Source organism: Homo sapiens, chromosome 12, assembly GCF_000001405.40.
Source record: "Homo sapiens chromosome 12, GRCh38.p14 Primary Assembly".
NCBI lineage: Eukaryota > Metazoa > Chordata > Mammalia > Primates > Hominidae > Homo > Homo sapiens.
In genome coordinates, this window is record NC_000012.12 from 47,219,275 (window position 1) to 47,237,355 (window position 18,081).

The window sequence follows — 18,081 nt, forward strand, 5'->3', positions numbered from 1 at the left end:
ATCCCTTCAGAGGAGCATAGGTGCTATTTCCCCCATTTAAGAAGTAAAAAACTAAGTAGCACAAAGATAAAGTAAGCATTAGAGGTGGAAGAAATCCAGGCCTGCTGACTCAACCCTAGATTCCTGTTACTGAGTAAATGGACTTTTGTAGCTAGTCCTGGAGCAGAATTGTCACAATCCAACCTGTTCATCAGTTGAAAGCACTCGTCATTATTAGCTCTCCAATCGCCCTTGTTTTTCATCCATGGGAACTTTTAATTCAGCCACTGGTTGGAATCTAGAGTAGTCAGCATAAGCCTAAACATTTGAAACACAAATATAGCTTTAGTGCAGCACTGGGTTTTCCATCGGCTTTTAAGAAGACTAGCTAACAGAGTGATGAAAATCGAACTAAGTTATTTCACACCTGCTTTGTTTTCTCATGGAAAAATTTAAAGCTGTGCACAAAATATTGTTTTGTTTTTCAACAGAGAATAACAAGGAAAGCTACATGCAAATATTTCTTTCTAGATAATATGATTTTTTTTCTTCTTAATTTAAACAAGTATTTATAGCTGAGATTAAAAGCTCAGGCTTTGGAGCCATACTTCTTCCTAAAGAAACAAAAGGAAACCTTAAGCTTATCTAATTATTCAGAAGATTCACTGTCAATAATGGGTGTGGTGGCATGAGCCTAAAGTCCCAACTACCTAGGAGGCTGAGGAGGGAGGATTGATTGAGCCTGGGAGGTTGAAGCTGCAGTGAGCCGTGATCATGCCCCTGTACTCCCAGGTGACCAAGGGAGACACTGCCTCAAAAAAAAAAAAAAAAAAAAAAGAAGAAGAAGAAGAAGATACATTGTCAAAAGAATAGTTCTGCCATTTACTAGCTGGGCAACCTTAGGCAATTTATTTATTTATTTTTAATTTATTTTTTGAGACAGAGTCTCATTCTATTGTCCAAGCTGGAGTGCAGTGGCGCGATCTTGGCTCACTGCAACCTCTGCCTCCCGGGTTCAAGCAATTCTCTTGCCTCGGCCTCCTGAATAGCTGGGATTACAGGTGTGTGCCATGACACCAGGCTAATTTTTGTATTTTTAGTAGAGACTGGGTTTCACCATGTTGATCAGGCTGGTCTCAAACTCCTGACCTCAGGTGATCCACCCACCTCGGCCTCCCAAAGTGCTGGGATTACAGGCGTGAGCCACTATGCCCAGCCAACCTTAGGCAATTTATATAACCTCTCCATGCCTCAGTTTACTTATCTATAAAATGGAGATAATAATACTTCCTCCTTCACCGGGTTGTGAGAATGGAATAGGCCTGGCACAAAGTGAGTGCTCAGTGAGTGCCGATGATTACTAGGCACAGGCACTGGGCCCTGAGGGGTACAAGGATGGGTGAGACCCACTTCTGCCATCCAGAACTAGCATAGAGTGGGATAGAATGGCACATGGGCAGTTAATTATAGAACAAAACAGAACCAAAGGTTAAGTAGAGGCATCCCTCAGAGGAAGGAGAGATTTTTCTATCTAGGAGAGTAGGGAAGGCTCTCTGACAAAATTGTCTTTTAACGTGAGTCTTAATGAAGGAGCAGAATTTCAGTAACAGGAAAGGGTTGGGGAACATTCAAAGGTGAGTCACAGAGACAAACATAAAGACATGAGAAAAGGCCCTCTGGGCTTATACAAACCCTATGGTTCCCTGCGGGCTTTCAGAAGATCCCAAGAAGAAAGGATCATATCCCAAGACATAAAAAGTTTACAGAATGCAAAATGTTGGAATTATTCTAACATATTAAATGAATTTGAAACTTTAAAACCTAGATGATGAAGTTTTATGTAAGAAAACATATAAAATTAAAACTATACCAATTAAAAAATAATGTTTTAATCAAAGACACACTTTTTAAGGACTAAGAAAAATTGGGGGAAAGTAAAATATTTAACCATAAAACTGAAAACAAATGTGACATTGATCACTGTGCTCAGCTTCCCAAAATATATATTGCAACATTCCCCTCCTCCCTAAGCTATATCTTCAAAATATATATATTGTTTCCAATATTTGTTAGACATCAAAATTCTTTTTTTTTTTTTTTTTTTTTTTAAGAAAGGGATATCACCATGTTGTCCAGGTTGGTCTTGAATTCCTGGGCCAAGTGATCCTCCTGCCTAAGCTTCCCAGAGTGCTGGGATTACAGGTGGTGAGCCACCACGCCCCGCCAACATGAAAATTTTTAAATGATTGCCAGGATACAGATCAACCTAAGGATTTCTTCACAATTAAAACAAAACCAGTCATCAAAAATAAAAATGACTTTATCCACACATTTCAGAAGCAAAGTATATTTCCACCCAATTATGTATTCCCAGCCAGTGCTTCAAGAAAAATTATACAGCAGCTCTCTGAAATTGCCTGGTGAGAATGTGCTGCCATCATTCCCATTGTTGGTCAATGCAATATTTACATTTAGGGAGACTGTTCAAAGGTCACAAGACAATTATTTGAGAAATTCAGCCACAGTTTGATGGGAAGATAAATGAGTGTCTAGAGAAGTGGGAAGTGGCTGGGCATGGTGGCTTATGGCTGTAATCCCAGCACTTTGGGAGGCCAAGGCAGGAGGTTTACTTGAAACCAGGAGTTCAAGACCAGACTGGGCCACAAAGCAAGAGCCTGTCTCCACAAAAAATTTTAAAAAATTAGCTGGGCATGGGATGCACACTTGTGGTCCCAACTACTTGGCAGGCTGAGGCAGAAGGATCTCTTAAACCTGGGAGATAAAGGCTGCAGTGAGCCATGATCGCACCATGGCACTCCAGCCTGGGTGACAGAGTGAGACTCTATCTCTTAAAAAAAAAATTAAAAAAAAAAAAAAAAAAAACGCCCGGGCGTGGTGGCTCACGCCTGTAATCCCAGCACTTTGGGAGGCCGAGGAGGGTGGATCACCTGAGGTCAGGAGTTCGAGACCAGCCTGACCAACATGGAGAATCCCCGTCTCTACTAAAAATACAAAAAAATTAGCCGGGCGTGGTAGCACGTGCCTGTAATTCCAGCTACTTGGGAGGCTGAGGCAGGAGAATCGCTTGAACCTGGGAGGCAGATGTTGCGGTGAGCTGAGATCACGCCATTGCACTCCAGCCTGGGCAACAAGAGCAAAACTCCATCTCAAAAAAAAAAAAAAAAAAAAAAGAGAGAGAATTGGGAAGTGATAGGGGCCTGCATAGACTGCTTTTCCTACCTCCTACCCCTCCAACCCCAGATAACTTTATTCTCTCTACCTGAATATGTCTGAAACTCAGGAGACAGGTCTGGGCTAGAGACAAAGATAATAGCTACATTCACTGAGCACTTAGAAATGTGGCGGTGTCATGCTAATAACTTTACATGTGTTCATTTAACCCTCACTTGTTAGGAAAACTGCAGTAATATTGTTCCCATTTTATTGATGAGGTTTCTTCAGGGCAGAGGGGTTGCTTAATAGGCCCAGGGACTCAAGGGCTAGTAAGCAGTGGAGCAGGATCAAACCCAGGGGGCCAACCCCAGAGCCCCTCCCTCTCAGCCAGTGTGCTTTATTGCCCCAATTCTCAGTCATCTGCATACAAATGGGAATTGATAAGGGGATGGTCCGTTGTAACCATCCAAACCAGGACTCTTAAGGGTTTGGGGTGCTACTAATCATTCTGGGGAAACAGGCAGAAACCAGAACTGTTTGGGGCAAATAGGGACATAGGGTTACCTCATTTCCTGACACTCTGAAAATGGGTGGACACACGAGGATAAGAATGTTGAAGAAGAGAAGAAAAGAGCCCTTCAGTGGGCCTTGAGAAAGACCTGGAAGGGAGGGAGAAATAAGAAAAAGAGAGAGAGAGAGAGAAAGACCAACATTTGGGGAACTGCCAGAGAAAGAGAAACCCTCAAAAGATACTAGGGAAAGACAGGATACAAGGGTGTCACAAATACGTGGACTTGAGGGCTGGGTTTCTCAGAGGGAGCAGTCAGTAGTGCCCCTACCCCTCATACTGTAAGAACCAAAAAGTGGCCACTGAAAGGAGCAACAGGGAAATCATCGGTGATTTACTAACAAACATTCCTTGGCTTTGATCCAGTCAGAGCCAAATTAAAGTAAACGGAGGAGTGAGTGGGAGGTGGGGCCCAGACCCAGACCCAGTCAGTGCAAGCAAGTTTTTTTTTTTAAATGTGGCCTTGGAGTGGAGGCAAAAGATAGGACTGTCCTGGAGGTGGAGTCAAAGATGTTTCCTTTCTTTTTCAAAGCAAGAAACTAGAATGTGTTTAATGCTAAAAAGAAGGATCCAGGCCAAGGAGGGTAAAGAAAATGCAGAATGCAAATTATCCCCTCACTGGGGGATATCCGGGAGCGAAGTCCCTGAGCTGCTGAGGAAGCTTTACGCCTAAGGAGGTACCTCTCTGCCTTTGCAGGAGGGTGGGAAGCGGGGTGAGGATTTGAAGGTTTGAGGAGGGAGTCCAAACAGGGTTCTGTCTGCAGGCCTGTGTTTTCTCTGGAATCATTGTGGGAGGGCTTGCTGAGCCAAAGGATTAGAGGGGCCTACTGTCTGGCAGGCCTTGTATTATTAGGCCCCTGATGTACGAGATCTCTTTTCATTTTCACTATTATTTGACGAGGTAGGTAATATTATTCCCTTTTTACAGAAGAGGAAACTGGTTCAGAACTGTGGGCAGCCAGCCCAAGAGCACGCAGCTGTCCAGGGGCAGAGTCCACGTCTGGCTTCTTTGTCTGGAGTTGAAAGCCAGATCACCACCTTCTGGTATCTTTCATTTGTGTTAAAGGGGTAATAGGTAGGAAGTTAGCAAATATACTTTGAATAATGATGCAAGACCATCATGTAGAGGTTTACTATAGACTGTACATGATTGAAATCATACTTTTGTGTTTATGAAATGCTTTGATTATTTATTTTAGGGAATATTTACAAAAGGCTGTAAAACAAAAGTTTAAAAAAGTGAGGTCACTGGAATTAATGGTCCATAGTTTTATCTTTGGTTTTTACAGAAGTTACCTGCATTTCAGTTACTAAGAACCACCACTTCATTCATAAAAATGCTCTCTGCATTTCTTTCTGTAATTCATAGGCGTTGTTTATATTAGACTATTATTATGGGAAAATACACTGCTTTAAGAATTTTTAAACTTGGTAATTTTCAGACTCAAAGTGTTTGAGATTCTTCTGCTGATAGTTTATTTAAAAAGAATTACAAATTTCAGATTGTGGCCTGGTAGGGATGATACAAATACAAACTGAATATACCCACAGTGATTCCTTCCTCCACAAAGTAAACCTGTGATTACACGGAGCCCAGTTTGAAGATCTTTATTCTAGTTTCCGTTTTTCGCTTATCTCGCATGATTTTAGATGTGTTTAAAGACTACCTGGATAACCAACTTAGAAATACAGGCTATATGGCGTGGTTTCATGATGCGGGGATTCACAGGGGAATCATGGTTGTTGTTGAGGGATGTGAGCCAAATGTGCAGTAACAGCTGTCATAGCCGTAGATAGACGCAGGGCTCTCTAAATTTTTACTGAATTAATTAATGGACTGCAGATCCGAGACCTACGTAGGAAGTGAGGTCAATGTAGGTAGGTGATTCGAATCAGTTAACAGTCTTTCCAGTGGTTATTTGGCAATTCTTTTTCTTTTTCGTTTTCTTTTTTTGACACAGAGTCTCACGCTGTCGCCCAGGCTGGAGTGCAGTGACACAATCTTGGCTCACTGCAACCTCCACCTCCCAGGTTCAAATGATTCTCCTGCCTCAGCCTCCCAAGTAGCTCGGATTACAGGCACGTGCCACCATGCCCAGCTGATTTTTGTATTTTTGGTACAGACGGGGTTTTGCCATGTTGGCCACGTTGGTCTCGAACTCCTGATCTCAAGTGATCCACCCGTCTCGGCCTCCCAAAGTGCTGGGATTACAGAATTAAGCCACTGCACCCAGCCTGGCAATTATTTTTCTATTGCATTATTTACCACAGCATAGCATCTCTCAGTACTTTTCTGTATTTTTTTATTTGATCCTAAAGCCACTTTTAAAAATAGGCCTGCATTGCTTCTTCCACTTTGGTGTTGTATAGGTCACTGGATGTTAACTGACTTGCCTCAAATCAAAATATGAGTCTCTAGAGAATCCCCAGTCCACAAGTCACTAAGTTTTCCCAAAGAAAAGTTCGAATTGTTTGCTTTTCTTTTTTCTTTCAAAACTGTATATGGCATGTAATATAATTTTTGGCAAGTTTAAATTCACTTAGAAAACTAAGCAAATGCTGACATAGATAAATTATACAGGTGAGCTCATTAAAAATAATTCTTTATCTGTACCATCCATTCCACTAAAATTTAAGAGAATCTTGGAAAGTTCAAACTATTGGTTAGATCCCCCAAAATGCGGTTATAAGGAAATGAACCATTTATATTCCCAGTACAATATTGTATTAAGATAGTCATATGCAAGAAACTTATAAATTAGTTACAAGTACTTCCCACAATGAATCAAAACATCCTAATTTTTAGTGACTATCTCTGTGGTTTAAAACTTCTCTACAGTATCTCTAAAGCAACTGGCTTATTTCAGTGTACCTCTTCTTGTAACTAAAGATCAAAAAGAAAAGAAAAATCAACATAATTATTACAAAACATTAATGAAAGATAAATGTTATGTGTTTGGGTTGTGATCATTGTAAAGCAATAGTCAATGAGTTGTAATTCATAGCTTATGAAGCTATTAAAAAATTAATTATCCCCAAACAGGGAAATATAAACAAGATGCTGGAAAGTAATTTATTGTGGCAGTAGACATTATTAATACATATATCTGTGACAGCTTTAGCCTAAGCCCAAAATTTACTTTGAAAACAGAAAAAAACATGGAACTACTTATAACTATGATTTTTAAAATTACCATGAAACTTTAAAAAAATTCTGTTTTAATTCGAAGTTGGAATCAGGTTGCAATGATTGTTCATAAACCTCCCTCCTCTGGCTTGATTCTTCCAACAGTCTCAGGTACTTAATTTACATACATCCGTTTTAGCAGCCAGCTCTTTAAGTGCCCATTTTCTTACCCCTCCTCTTGAGAGAAGAGATTGCCTCTCTTTTTGAGATGGAGTGAGTCTCGCTCTGTCGCCCAGCCTGGAGTGCATTGGTGGGATCTCGGCTCACTGCAACCTCCGCCTCCTGGGTTCAGGCAATTCTCCTGCCTCAGCCTCCTGAGTAGCTCGGATTACAGGCGCATGCCACCACACCCGGCTAATTTTTTATATTTTTGGTAGACACGGGGTTTCAACATGTTGGCCAGGCTGGTCTTGAACTCCTGATCTCAAGTTATCCGCCCGCCTTGGCCTCCTAAGGTGCTGAGATTACAGGCGTGAGCCACTGCACCTGGCCAAAATTGCCTTTTCATACCTAGTCCTTGCACCCAGTGCACTATTTGGCTCTCCATGATCTTTATTAAGTGAATGAGTGAATCGATAAAATAGCTACCAAAATGAATAAGTGTACTTATCAAATCTGCAGCAAAGAAAGATGCCTAGGCTAAAATGATCGCTGATCTGGCCATTTTCGAATCCTTTTTTTGTTTTATTTTTTATAAATAAAAAGAGCTCTGAAAATGGATGCTATCGACATTTTTTTTAAATTAGAGAAGGTTTATGTCTCCAAATTATTCTTTTCTATTCACTCCCCTAAAAGAGTCATTTTGGTTTTGTTAAGTTTTATTTTTAATGCTTGGTCTCTTAGCTTAGGATTCTTTCCCAAAATGATAGTCTTGAGGGTGTCAGATTTCATTAATCCTGTTACAGTTACAGTGCTCCTCTTTATCAAGAACTTCATTTCCATTTCAGGTTTTTCTGTTTGTTTGTTTGTTTGTTTTGTTTTGTTTTTGTTTTTGTTTTTGAGGCAGAGTCTCGCTCTGTCACCCAGTCTGGAGTGCAGCAGCAAGATGGCAAGATCTCGGCTCACTGCAATCTCCACCTCCCGGGTTCAAGCGATTCTCCCGCCTCAGCCTCATGAGTGGCTGGGATTACAGGCACCTGCCATGATGCCCACATAATTTTTGTAGTCTTGTAGAGAGGGGGGCTTTCAGCATGTTGGCCAGATTGGTCTTGAACTCCTGACCCCAGGTGATCCACCCACCTCGGCCTTCCAAAGTGCTGGGCTTACAGGCGAGAGCCACCGTGCCCGGCCCCATTTCGGGTTCTAACTGGAATGCTTCTTCCCAGTCATTTTCCCCTCTCTTTCCTTCTCACAGTCATAGCTGCATGTTCCATTAGAGAAGAATAATAAGGCCAGGCACAGTGGTTCACGCCTGTAATCCCAGCACTTTGGGAGGGCGAGGTGAGTGGATCACTTGAGACCAGGAGTTCGAGACCAGCCTGGCCAACATGGTGAAACCCCGTCTCTACTAAAAATACAAAAATTAGCTGGGCATGGTGGCAAGTGCCTGTAATTGCAGGTATCTGGAGACCAAGGCACGACAATTGCTTGAACCCTGGAGGCAAAAGTTTCAGTGAGCTGAGATCTCGCCACTGCACTCCAGCCTGGGTGACAGAGCAAGACTCTGACTCAAAAAAAAAAGAAGACATTCTTAGGTAAACATTTTTGTCAGATATTGGCCCTGAGCTCTTGGAGCAACATTTGGGTGGGTTAAGTGAACTGGTTAGGATATAGGACCTCCAGAAGTCCTCAGACACTGTGAGGTTGTCAGTCTGCAGAACTGTGTTTTGGCTCTTCTTCTTTGTTTTTTCTTTTCCTTTTTTTTTTTTTGAGACAAAGTCACACTCTGTTGCCCAGGCTGGAGTTCAGTGATGCGATCTCAGCTCGCTGCAACCTCCTCCTTTCTGGACTCAAGCAATTCTCGTGCCTCAGCCTCCTAAGTAGCTGGGATTACAGGCGTGTGCCACTACACCCAGCTAATTTTTAGTATTTCTTGTAGAGACAGGGTTTCACCAAGTTGCCCAGGCTGGTCCTGACCTCAGGTGATCTGCCCTTCTTGGCCTCCCAAAGTGTAGAGATTACAGGCATGATCCACCGTGCCCTGCCTGGGTTCTTCTGAATTCAAGGTCTTTATGTGTTTTTATGTCTCTTGCTTGAGATTAGGATATGGGATTATACTCATTCACCACCCATCCCCTCCCTTCATGACCATCTCTCCTGGGCAGAGGAGAGGGTTGCCTGACTATGAATAAGCAAAAGATAAGAGAAGATCCTTCTTCTATTAGAGATAGACTTTGGACTAAATCTTAGCTCTATCACATCAATATCTTTCCTTATAAAATGGGAATAAGAGTTACCTCATAAAGGGCCAGGTGCAGTGGCTCACACTTGTAATCCCAGCATTTTGGGAGGCCAAGGCGGGCAGATCATCTGAGGTCAGGAGTTCAAGACCAGCCTGGCCAAAATGGTGAAACCCCGTCTCTACTAAAAAAACTACAAAAATTAGCCGGGCATGGTGATGCACACCTGTAATCCCAGCTACTCAGGAGGCTGAGGCAGGAGAATCGCTTGAACCTGGGAGGCGGAGGTTGCAGTGAGCTGAGATTGCACCACTGCACTCCAGCCTGGGCAACCAGAGTGAAACTCCGTCTCAAAAAAAAAAAGTTACCTCATGAAGAGGTAATGTTGGTAAAGCACCTGGGATCTAGTAGCTGTTCAATAAACATTAATTTTGTTTTAGCCAAAATATTTCACTTGCATCATCTAATTTGATCTTCATAGAACCCTGACAAACAAGCAGAACAAATATTGTAATCTCTTCTTTATTGATGATTAACCTGGTATTTTGAAACTTCTTAAGTATGGGTTGAACATCCTTTATCCAAAATGCTTGGAATAAAAAGTGTTTCAGGCCGGGCACGGTGGCTTACACCTGTCATCCCAGCACTGTGGGAGGCTGAGGAGGGTGGATCACCTGAGGTCAGGAGTTCGAGACCAGCTGGCCAACATGGTGAAACCCCATCTCTACTAAAAATATAAAAACTTAGCTGGGCGTGGTGGTGCACGTCTGTAGTCCTAGCTACTCGGGAGGCCAAGACAGGAGAATCGCTTGAACCCAAGAGGCAGAGTTTGCAGTGAACTGAGATTGCACCACTGTACTTCAGCCTGGGCACCAAGAGCAAAACTGCTTCTCAAAAAAAAAAAAAAGATAAGAAAATAAAAAACACTCAAAAGTGTTTCGGATTTCAGATTTTTGGGTGATTTCAGAATATTTGCATGTACGTGGGGATGCCCATACGTAGGCTGGGATTGGGCCCAAGTGGAAACACAAAATTCATTTATGTTTCATATACAGCATATACACATAGCCTGAAGGTAATTTTATACAATACTTTAAATTTTGTGCATGAAACAAAGTTTGTGTGCATTGAACCATCAGAAAGCAAAGGTGTCACAATCTTAACCACTCATGTGGACTGTGGTTGTATGACATCACCATCATTTCTGACTCAGCTTATATGTTTAGAGGCAACCAACAAGTAATCATTTCTTTTCTTTTTTTTTTTGAGATGGAGTCTCTCTCTGTCACCCAGGCTGGAGTGCAGTGGCGCGATCTTGGCTCATTGCAAGCTCTGCCTCCCGGGTTCCTGCCATTCTCCTGCCTCAGCCTCCCGAGTAGCTGGGACTACAGGCACCCGCCACCACACCCGGCTAATATTTTTTTTTGTACTTTTAGTAGAGACGGGGTTTCACCGTGTTAGCCAGGATGGTCTCAATCTCCTGACCTCGTGATCTGCCCGCCTCAGCCTCCTAAAGTGCTGGGATTACAGGCGTGAGCCACTGCACTCAGCAAGTAATCATTTTCTTTTTTTTTTTTTTTTTGAGACGGAGTCTCACTCTGTCCCCAGGCTGGAGTGCAGTGGCAGGATCTCGGCTCACTACAAGTTCCGCCTCCCAGGTTCACACCTTTCTCCTGCCTCAGCCTCCCGAGTAGCTGGGACTACAGGCCCCAGCCACCACGCCCTGCTAATTTTTTGTACTTTTAGTAGAGACGGGGTTTCACAATGTTTGCCAGGATGGTCTCCATCTCGTGACCTCGTGATCCTCCTGCCTTGGCCTCCCAAAGTGCTGGGATCACAGGCATAAGCCACCACGCCTGGCCAAAGTAATCATTTTCTTACACTTATTCACACGTAAGTACTTCATAGTAGAAAATATGACACACTTTTCCCTTTTTTTTGACACACAGCCTCACTCTGTTGCCCAGGCTGGAGTGCAGTGGTGCGATCTCAGCTCACTGCAACCTCCGCCTCCCAGGTTCAGGGGATCTCCCGCCTCAGCCTCCGAGTAGCTGGGATTACAGGCATGTGCCACCATGCCTGGCTAATTTTTGTATTTTTCGTAGAGACAGGATTTCACCATTTTGGCCAGGCTGGTCTTGAACTCCTGATCTCAAGTGATCCACCTGCCTCGGCCTCTCAAAGTGCTGTGATTACAGGCGTGAGCCTCCTCGCCTGGCCAACATACCATTAATATAGTGAAAAAGTAATGTGTTCAGTGTAACTTGGAGCATCATGTTGGCTCTCAAAAAGTTTTGGGTTTGGAAGAATTTTGGAATTTTGAATTAGGGATGCTCAACTTTTAATAATAATAACTAATTTAGCAGCACTTCCTACTTGTTAGGCATTATTACAAACAGTTTACGTTTAATCCTCACATCAGATATATGAAGTGTACTAATAGGTGCATTTTACAGATCTGGAAAATTAAGTCATAGAAAGACTAAATAACTTGCCCAAGTTCAAAATGCTAGCAAACAGAAGAGTTAGGATTCAAACCCAGGTAGTATGATTCCAAACGCAATGCTCTTTGCTAATACTCTGTAGAGGGGCCGATGGATATCCTCTGCCCATCTTAGTTCTTAAGTGGGATCTTCGGGTGGGCTTGGAACCAAATTAATGCAAGACAGATTAACAGAAGAGAAGCGCGTATGTTTTATTATTTTTTTACATGTACATGGGGACCCTCATAAGAGAGTGAAGACCCCAAGAAATGGCCAAAGCAGAAAGCTTTTATACCTTTTAGACAAAGAACTACACATTTTGTGAAGAAATGACAGGACAAAGGGGTATAAGCTGGGGGTAGTAAATTCCAGGGGAGTCGCTAGGAGATAATTGGAGAGGGTGCTAAAGCTAGTGGAGGATAAGGGTTTTTTCAGTAAGTTTATTTATACAGCTCCATTGCAGCATCACTTCTTAAGTCACTGGAAACAAGGGTTATCTTCTCGTGTTGGTGCAGAGAAGGCCGCTTTTTCACAGGAATTTTTATGGCTTGATAAGAAAGGGCAGATCTGGAGGCCCTTTCTGCCACCGCTGCTTCACAAGCATCTTCGCTCAAAAATATCTGTATCAGAGAGGCATATTTTGGACTTGAACTTATATCTTTCCAAGTCTAGGGCACTTCACTCCCAGAGAAAGAATGCATTAGAGCATTCCAGAAGTAACACTGTAGCAGAGACAGCACTAAATTATTAGATCTGCCAGCTTCCGGGACAGAACTGTATTAACAGGGGAAGGTGTATTAGGGCACAGATTACGGCCAGAGTGCTGGCCCAGGGAAGGCACATCGAGCTGGGGCAGCATGGGAGCCCTGAAAACACAATAGGAAAGGGTTTCCGTCTTCACATTTTGCACTTTGGAGACTTGAGTCTAGAGTGGGAAGGAATACTATTCCCAAAGACCCCTAGACTTTCACAGTTTATGGCCCTTACCACTTTCTACATGATAGTACAATTATCAACTAGTATTTCTGATCTGCTTTTAGAGCGCAAGACCATATTTTACTTATTTTTATACTCCCTATGTGGAGCATATAGTAGGCACTTATTAAGTGTGAGTTGGAGAAATAAATGAATCTAAACAAATGAACATGCTTGAGTCCCAAAGGGATTTGGAGTTTGCTTCAGTTTTGTTTTGTTTTTCTTTGTTTCAAACTCCTGGTCTCAAGCAGTCCTCCTGCCTCAGTCTTCCAAAGTGCTGGGATTACAAACATAAGCCACTGCACCCAGCCAAAACTTTTATTCTGATAGCAAAAATATTTTAATGAAAATTCTTTGTGGGGAAGATGTCAATATTTTCAACTGTTCTCTTATGAAACTTAATATTCTATCTGTTTTAATATTTTCATTTTTGTATTTATACCCATTTAAAACTACAAATAGGATATATAGCTTTTAAAACTTGAATGTGTAATTTAATAATAGCTATCCACCCATACCTATTAAAATGTTCCTACATCTATTAAAATGTTTACTAATGCGTAAAATCTTACAAATTTCAAGCCGCACCGGATTTTCAAGGCTTTTGTGTAAGTAGATGAAGTGGATGCCATGTTCCTCCCATTTGCAATCTGTTAGCAGTATTTTAGTGTTTCTACTATTTAGTCATCTGTGGATATGAGTTGTAAATGGCAACTTGAAATAATCTGAAGTTTTGAAGATGAGTTTCACAGTTTTTAACATTGCATCCAATGTGTTGGAGAGAAAAAACTTTTTCTCTACTCTTTTAGCATCAGTACTTGGGGGCGTATAGATTAAACTAACAAAAGACAGATTAACAGGAGAAAAAGCACATACTTTTATTTATTTATGTTGTGTGTGTGTTGCCAAGATACAGACCTAGAAATTTTATTTATTTATTTATTTATTTATTTATTTATTTATTTAATTTATTTAGAGATGGGGTCTCACTTTGTGGCCCAGGCGGGAGTGAAGTAGCTGGAACACTGCTTACTGCAGCCTCAACATCCTGAGCCCAAGCCATCCTCCCGCCTCAGTCGTGCGCCACCATGCCCAGTTAATTTTTGTATAAAGATGGGGTTTTGCCATGTTGCCCAGGCTGGTCTCGAACTCCTGAGCTCAAGTGATCCCTTCCACCTTGGCCTTCCAAAGTGCTGGGTTTGCAGGCGTGAGCTGCCGCGCCCACCACAATTTTTGGCACGATCTTGGCTCACTGCAAGCTCCGCCTCCTGGGCTCACGCCATTCTCCTGCCTCAGTCTGTTCAGGTGTCCGCCACCACGCCCGGCTAATTTTTTGTATTTTTAGTAGAGACGGGGTTTCACCGTGGTAGCCAGAAAGGTCTCGATCTGACCTCGTGATCCACCCGCCTTGGCCTCCCAAAGTGCTGGGATTACAGGCGTGAGCCGCCACAATTTTTAAATTAATATTTGCAGGCAGGGAGTGCACCGGAAAACAGTGAAACTCAAGGGGCTTTGGGCTTTAAGGGATGATGAATTGTGGGGAAGTGACTGGGAAATAAATGGGGGGAGCTCATGGAAGATAAGGGCTATTGTAGTAAGGTCTATTTATGAAAAATCATCTTGGTGTCCATTCCCTGTCTTCGGTGAAAAGGATGATAACCTGTCTGATTGATAAGAGTTGCTCCTCTTTCCCTGGTTGGGGGAAGGGTGTTTACCTTCCTGAAGGAAATATATGCCCTGATTCTAGGGCAGATAAGAGGAGGGCAGATAACTCTTCCTGCATCTGTCGATTTTCAGTTGCTTTCTGCTCAAAATAATCCTCATGTTAAAGTGCACATTTTGGGGTGGCATATTCCGGTTCTCTTCAAATGTAAAGCAAAGAATATTACAGCTGAAATGTATTCAAATTATTTCCAGTTTTATCTTGATTTTTTTCAGTCCTATTGATGAGAAACAGCTACTTCCTTGTAAAAGAAATCTGTTTTTAGGGGTTTTTTTTGTTTTGTTTTTTGTTTTTGTTTGTTTTCTGAGACGGAGTTTCTCTCTTGCCCAGGCTAAAGTGCAATGGCGCGATCTCAGCTCACTGGCAACCTTTGCCTCCTGGGTCCAAGCAATTCTCCTGCCTCAGCCTCCCAAGTAGCTGGGATTACAGGCATGCGCCACCACGCCCGGCTAATTTTGAATTTTTAGTAGAGACGGGGTTTCTCCGTGTTGGTCAGGCTGGTCTCGGACTCCCGACCTCGGGTGATCCACCCTCCTCGGCCTCCCAAAGTGCTGGGATTACAGGCGTAATCCCACCGCACCCGGCCTGTTTTTATGCTCTTGAGCTAGCACAGGTACTCTTTCTTTGTGTTACCTGTTGCATTTCATTTAATTCTTTTAAAGTTATAACAAGCGATATAAGACTGTAAAGAATATTTACAAAAATAAAAGGGGAGAGAAGTCAACCATAATCCTATTCTATGAAGATATGTTTTTACATATTTCCTTTCAATGTTATCTATGCATATCTCTTTTATATAGTTTAAGTGATGGGGCATTCAGTATGGGATGTAACTTATTCCACTTAACATTATATCACAAACATTCTCCATGTCCTTGCTTACTTGGGGTCCTCATTATCTAACAGTGGCATAGCGCTAACCAAATCCACTTAGGCTTCTGGGCTGCCTCCAGGCTCTTGGCTAGGCATTCTGCTAGCACTCTCATCCCTGGGGAGGGTGGATCATACTTGGCTCCTCCCCACCAGGTGGAACCTGAGCCTCCAACAGCAGCCTCAGGTCATTCATAGGTCAAGCCCCAGGCCTGAACTGCCACTAGACAAGGCTTTTGGCTCCCTTCCTGCCCTCTCGCCAATCTCCCAGGTCCGGGCTTGGTGGAGCCTGTTATGCGGGCACTCCAGGTCCACTCCCTCAGGGCAGAGGCCACAGCGCCATCCCCTTCCCCATGGTCTCCCTACCCCCAACCTGCACTGGGCGCTCCGCCCAGAGGTGAGTCCCTCCCAGCCCTTCTCTCCTTCTGTCCTAGCCATCCGCAGAGCCATCCTGTGCAAAGGAAGGAGCTAGGCTGTGCGCCCTGGGCGTCATGATCCTTCTGCGGGCCTCCGAAGTGCGGCAGCTGCTTCACAATAAGTTCGTGGTCATCCTGGGGGACTCTGTGCATAGGGCAGTATACAAGGACCTGGTGCTTCTGCTGCAGAAGGACCGCCTGCTCACTCCCGGGCAGCTTAGAGCAAGGGGGGAGCTGAACTTCGAACAAGATGAGCTGGTGGACGGAGGCCAGCGGGGCCACATGCACAACGGCCTTAACTACCGTGAGGTCCGCGAGTTCCGCTCCGACCACCATCTGGTACGTTTTTACTTCCTCACCCGCGTGTACTCCGATTACCTCCAGACCATCTTGAAAGAGCTGCAGTCGGGCGAGCACGCCCCCGACCTGGTCATCATGAATTCCTGCCTCTGGGACATCTCCAGGTATGGTCCGAACTCCTGGAGAAGCTACCTGGAGAACCTGGAGAACCTGTTCCAGTGCCTGGGCCAGGTGCTGCCCGAGTCTTGCCTCCTGGTGTGGAACACGGCCATGCCTGTGGGCGAGGAAGTCACCGGGGGTTTTCTTCCGCCCAAGCTCCGGCGGCAGAAGGCCACCTTCCTGAAAAACGAAGTGGTCAAAGCCAACTTCCACAGCGCCACCGAGGCACGTAAACATAACTTCGATGTACTGGACTTGCATTTCCACTTCCGCCACGCGAGGGAGAACCTGCACTGGGACGGGGTGCACTGGAATGGACGTGTGCACCGCTGCCTCTCCCAGCTGCTGCTGGCCCACGTGGCCGACGCCTGGGGTGTGGAGCTGCCCCACCGCCACCCCGTGGGCGAGTGGATCAAGAAGAAAAAACCTGGCCCGAGAGTCGAAGGGCCGCCCCAGGCCAACAGAAATCACCCGGCCTTACCTCTGTCCCCACCCTTACCTTCCCCCACATACCGCCCCCTGCTTGGGTTCCCACCCCAGCGCTTGCCGCTGCTCCCGCTCCTGTCCCCACAGCCTCCTCCTCCCATTCTCCATCACCAGGGAATGCCCCGGTTCCCACAGGGTCCCCCAGATGCCTGTTTTTCCTCAGACCATACTTTCCAGTCGGATCAATTCTATTGCCATTCAGATGTCCCCTCATCAGCCCATGCAGGTTTCTTCGTCGAAGACAATTTTATGGTTGGTCCTCAGCTGCCTATGCCCTTCTTCCCCACACCCCGTTATCAGCGGCCTGCCCCAGTGGTACATAGGGGTTTTGGCAGGTATCGTCCCCGTGGCCCCTATACGCCCTGGGGACAGCGGCCTCGACCTTCAAAGAGAAGGGCCCCAGCCAATCCTGAGCCAAGGCCTCAATAGACGGACCTAGGCCTTATTTCCTCTTTATGAACATGGATTGGACAGATCTGACACTTCCTTTCCATTGCTTGGCCTGAACAGACTGACCTTGTTAACTTAAGCCTGGAGTCCATGCCTCGTCTTCCTTTTGTTCATTGCTGTTACCAAGAAAGCCAAGGAAGAGCAGCCTGACTCATTCTTCTTGGCTGCAGCCTCTTCCCCACTTCCTGGGAGTGACCCAGCGTTATTCCTGCCTCCTCACTCCTATTCTCTTTGCCTTTGTGTAAAAATAAAATGGAAATAAACAAGTTGCACAGAAGTAGTTGTGGGTTTTGCATGTGTCTATATTTAATGGATGCCTCTCCATTAAATGATTAGTTCTTAATATGGTTTGTCTCTGTGTCCCCACCCAAATCTCATCTTGAATTGTAATAATCCCCATGTGTCAAGGGAGGGACCATGTGCAGGTAATTGAATCATGGGGGTAGTTTCCCCTATGCTGTTCTCATGATAATGAGTGAGTCTCACAAGATCTGATGGGTTTTTTTTGTTTGTTTTTTTTTTTTGAGGCGGAGTTTTGCTCTTGTTGCTCTGGCTGGAGTGCAATGGCATGATCTCGGATCACTGCAACCTCCTCCTCACAGGTTCAAGCGATTCCCCTGCCTCAGCCTCCCGAGTAGCTGGGATTACAGGCATGCACCACCACGCCTGGCTAATTTTGTATTTTTAGTAGAGACGAGGTTTCTCCGTGTTGGTCAGGCTGGTCTTGAACTCCTGACCTCAGGCGTCCGCCCGCCTCGGCCTCCCAAAGTGCTGGGATTACAGGCATGAGCCACCGTGCCTGGCTGCCACTTCTCTGTTTTTAAGAATGTTAACATAACTAAGACTGTTTAAATGCTAGGCTCATTGTAACACTCAACTAGTGAAATGTTAACACTTAGATAAAATAGTCAAAATCAGATGTGATTAAAATTGTTCAAATAATAGGATTTTTCATTGAATTGATTTGACTGG

At 44.2% G+C, this 18,081-nt stretch overlaps 1 protein-coding gene across 16 annotated transcripts in view, besides 4 other annotated features; it reads left to right on the plus strand.

The window, feature by feature from the left end:
- Positions 1–17,386, plus strand: part of PCED1B (PC-esterase domain containing 1B) — a 157,040-nt gene extending 139,654 nt beyond the window's left edge. For 8 of the 16 annotated variants that reach the window (XM_017020207.2, XM_011538978.3, XM_017020209.2 and 5 more), the window contains one exon: positions 15,733–17,386. In XM_017020207.2, the coding sequence (XP_016875696.1) occupies positions 15,790–17,088 (1,299 nt within the window). In that variant the 5' untranslated portion in view covers positions 15,733–15,789 and the 3' untranslated portion in view covers positions 17,089–17,386. Of the gene's footprint in view, positions 1–4,253; positions 4,399–4,649; positions 4,766–15,732 lie in introns of all 16 variants that reach the window. The other 8 variants (XM_047429870.1, XM_047429868.1, XM_047429869.1 and 5 more) reach the window with 3 other exon arrangements.
- Positions 1,368–1,868: an enhancer, noted in NCBI's record as "H3K27ac hESC enhancer chr12:47614425-47614925 (GRCh37/hg19 assembly coordinates)". NCBI's record gives its function as "activates a minimal SCP1, AML or CMV promoter by ChIP-STARR-seq in naive H9 embryonic stem cells {active_cell/tissue: H9 hESC(naive)}" and the evidence as "EXISTENCE:reporter gene assay evidence [ECO:0000049][PMID:30033119]".
- Positions 2,164–2,895: an enhancer, noted in NCBI's record as "H3K27ac-H3K4me1 hESC enhancer chr12:47615221-47615952 (GRCh37/hg19 assembly coordinates)". NCBI's record gives its function as "activates a minimal SCP1, AML or CMV promoter by ChIP-STARR-seq in naive H9 embryonic stem cells {active_cell/tissue: H9 hESC(naive)}" and the evidence as "EXISTENCE:reporter gene assay evidence [ECO:0000049][PMID:30033119]".
- Positions 2,896–3,626: an enhancer, noted in NCBI's record as "OCT4-NANOG-H3K27ac-H3K4me1 hESC enhancer chr12:47615953-47616683 (GRCh37/hg19 assembly coordinates)". NCBI's record gives its function as "activates a minimal SCP1, AML or CMV promoter by ChIP-STARR-seq in naive H9 embryonic stem cells {active_cell/tissue: H9 hESC(naive)}" and the evidence as "EXISTENCE:reporter gene assay evidence [ECO:0000049][PMID:30033119]".
- Positions 3,627–4,357: an enhancer, noted in NCBI's record as "OCT4-NANOG-H3K27ac-H3K4me1 hESC enhancer chr12:47616684-47617414 (GRCh37/hg19 assembly coordinates)". NCBI's record gives its function as "activates a minimal SCP1, AML or CMV promoter by ChIP-STARR-seq in naive H9 embryonic stem cells {active_cell/tissue: H9 hESC(naive)}" and the evidence as "EXISTENCE:reporter gene assay evidence [ECO:0000049][PMID:30033119]".
- Positions 17,387–18,081: the final 695 nt, after the last annotated feature.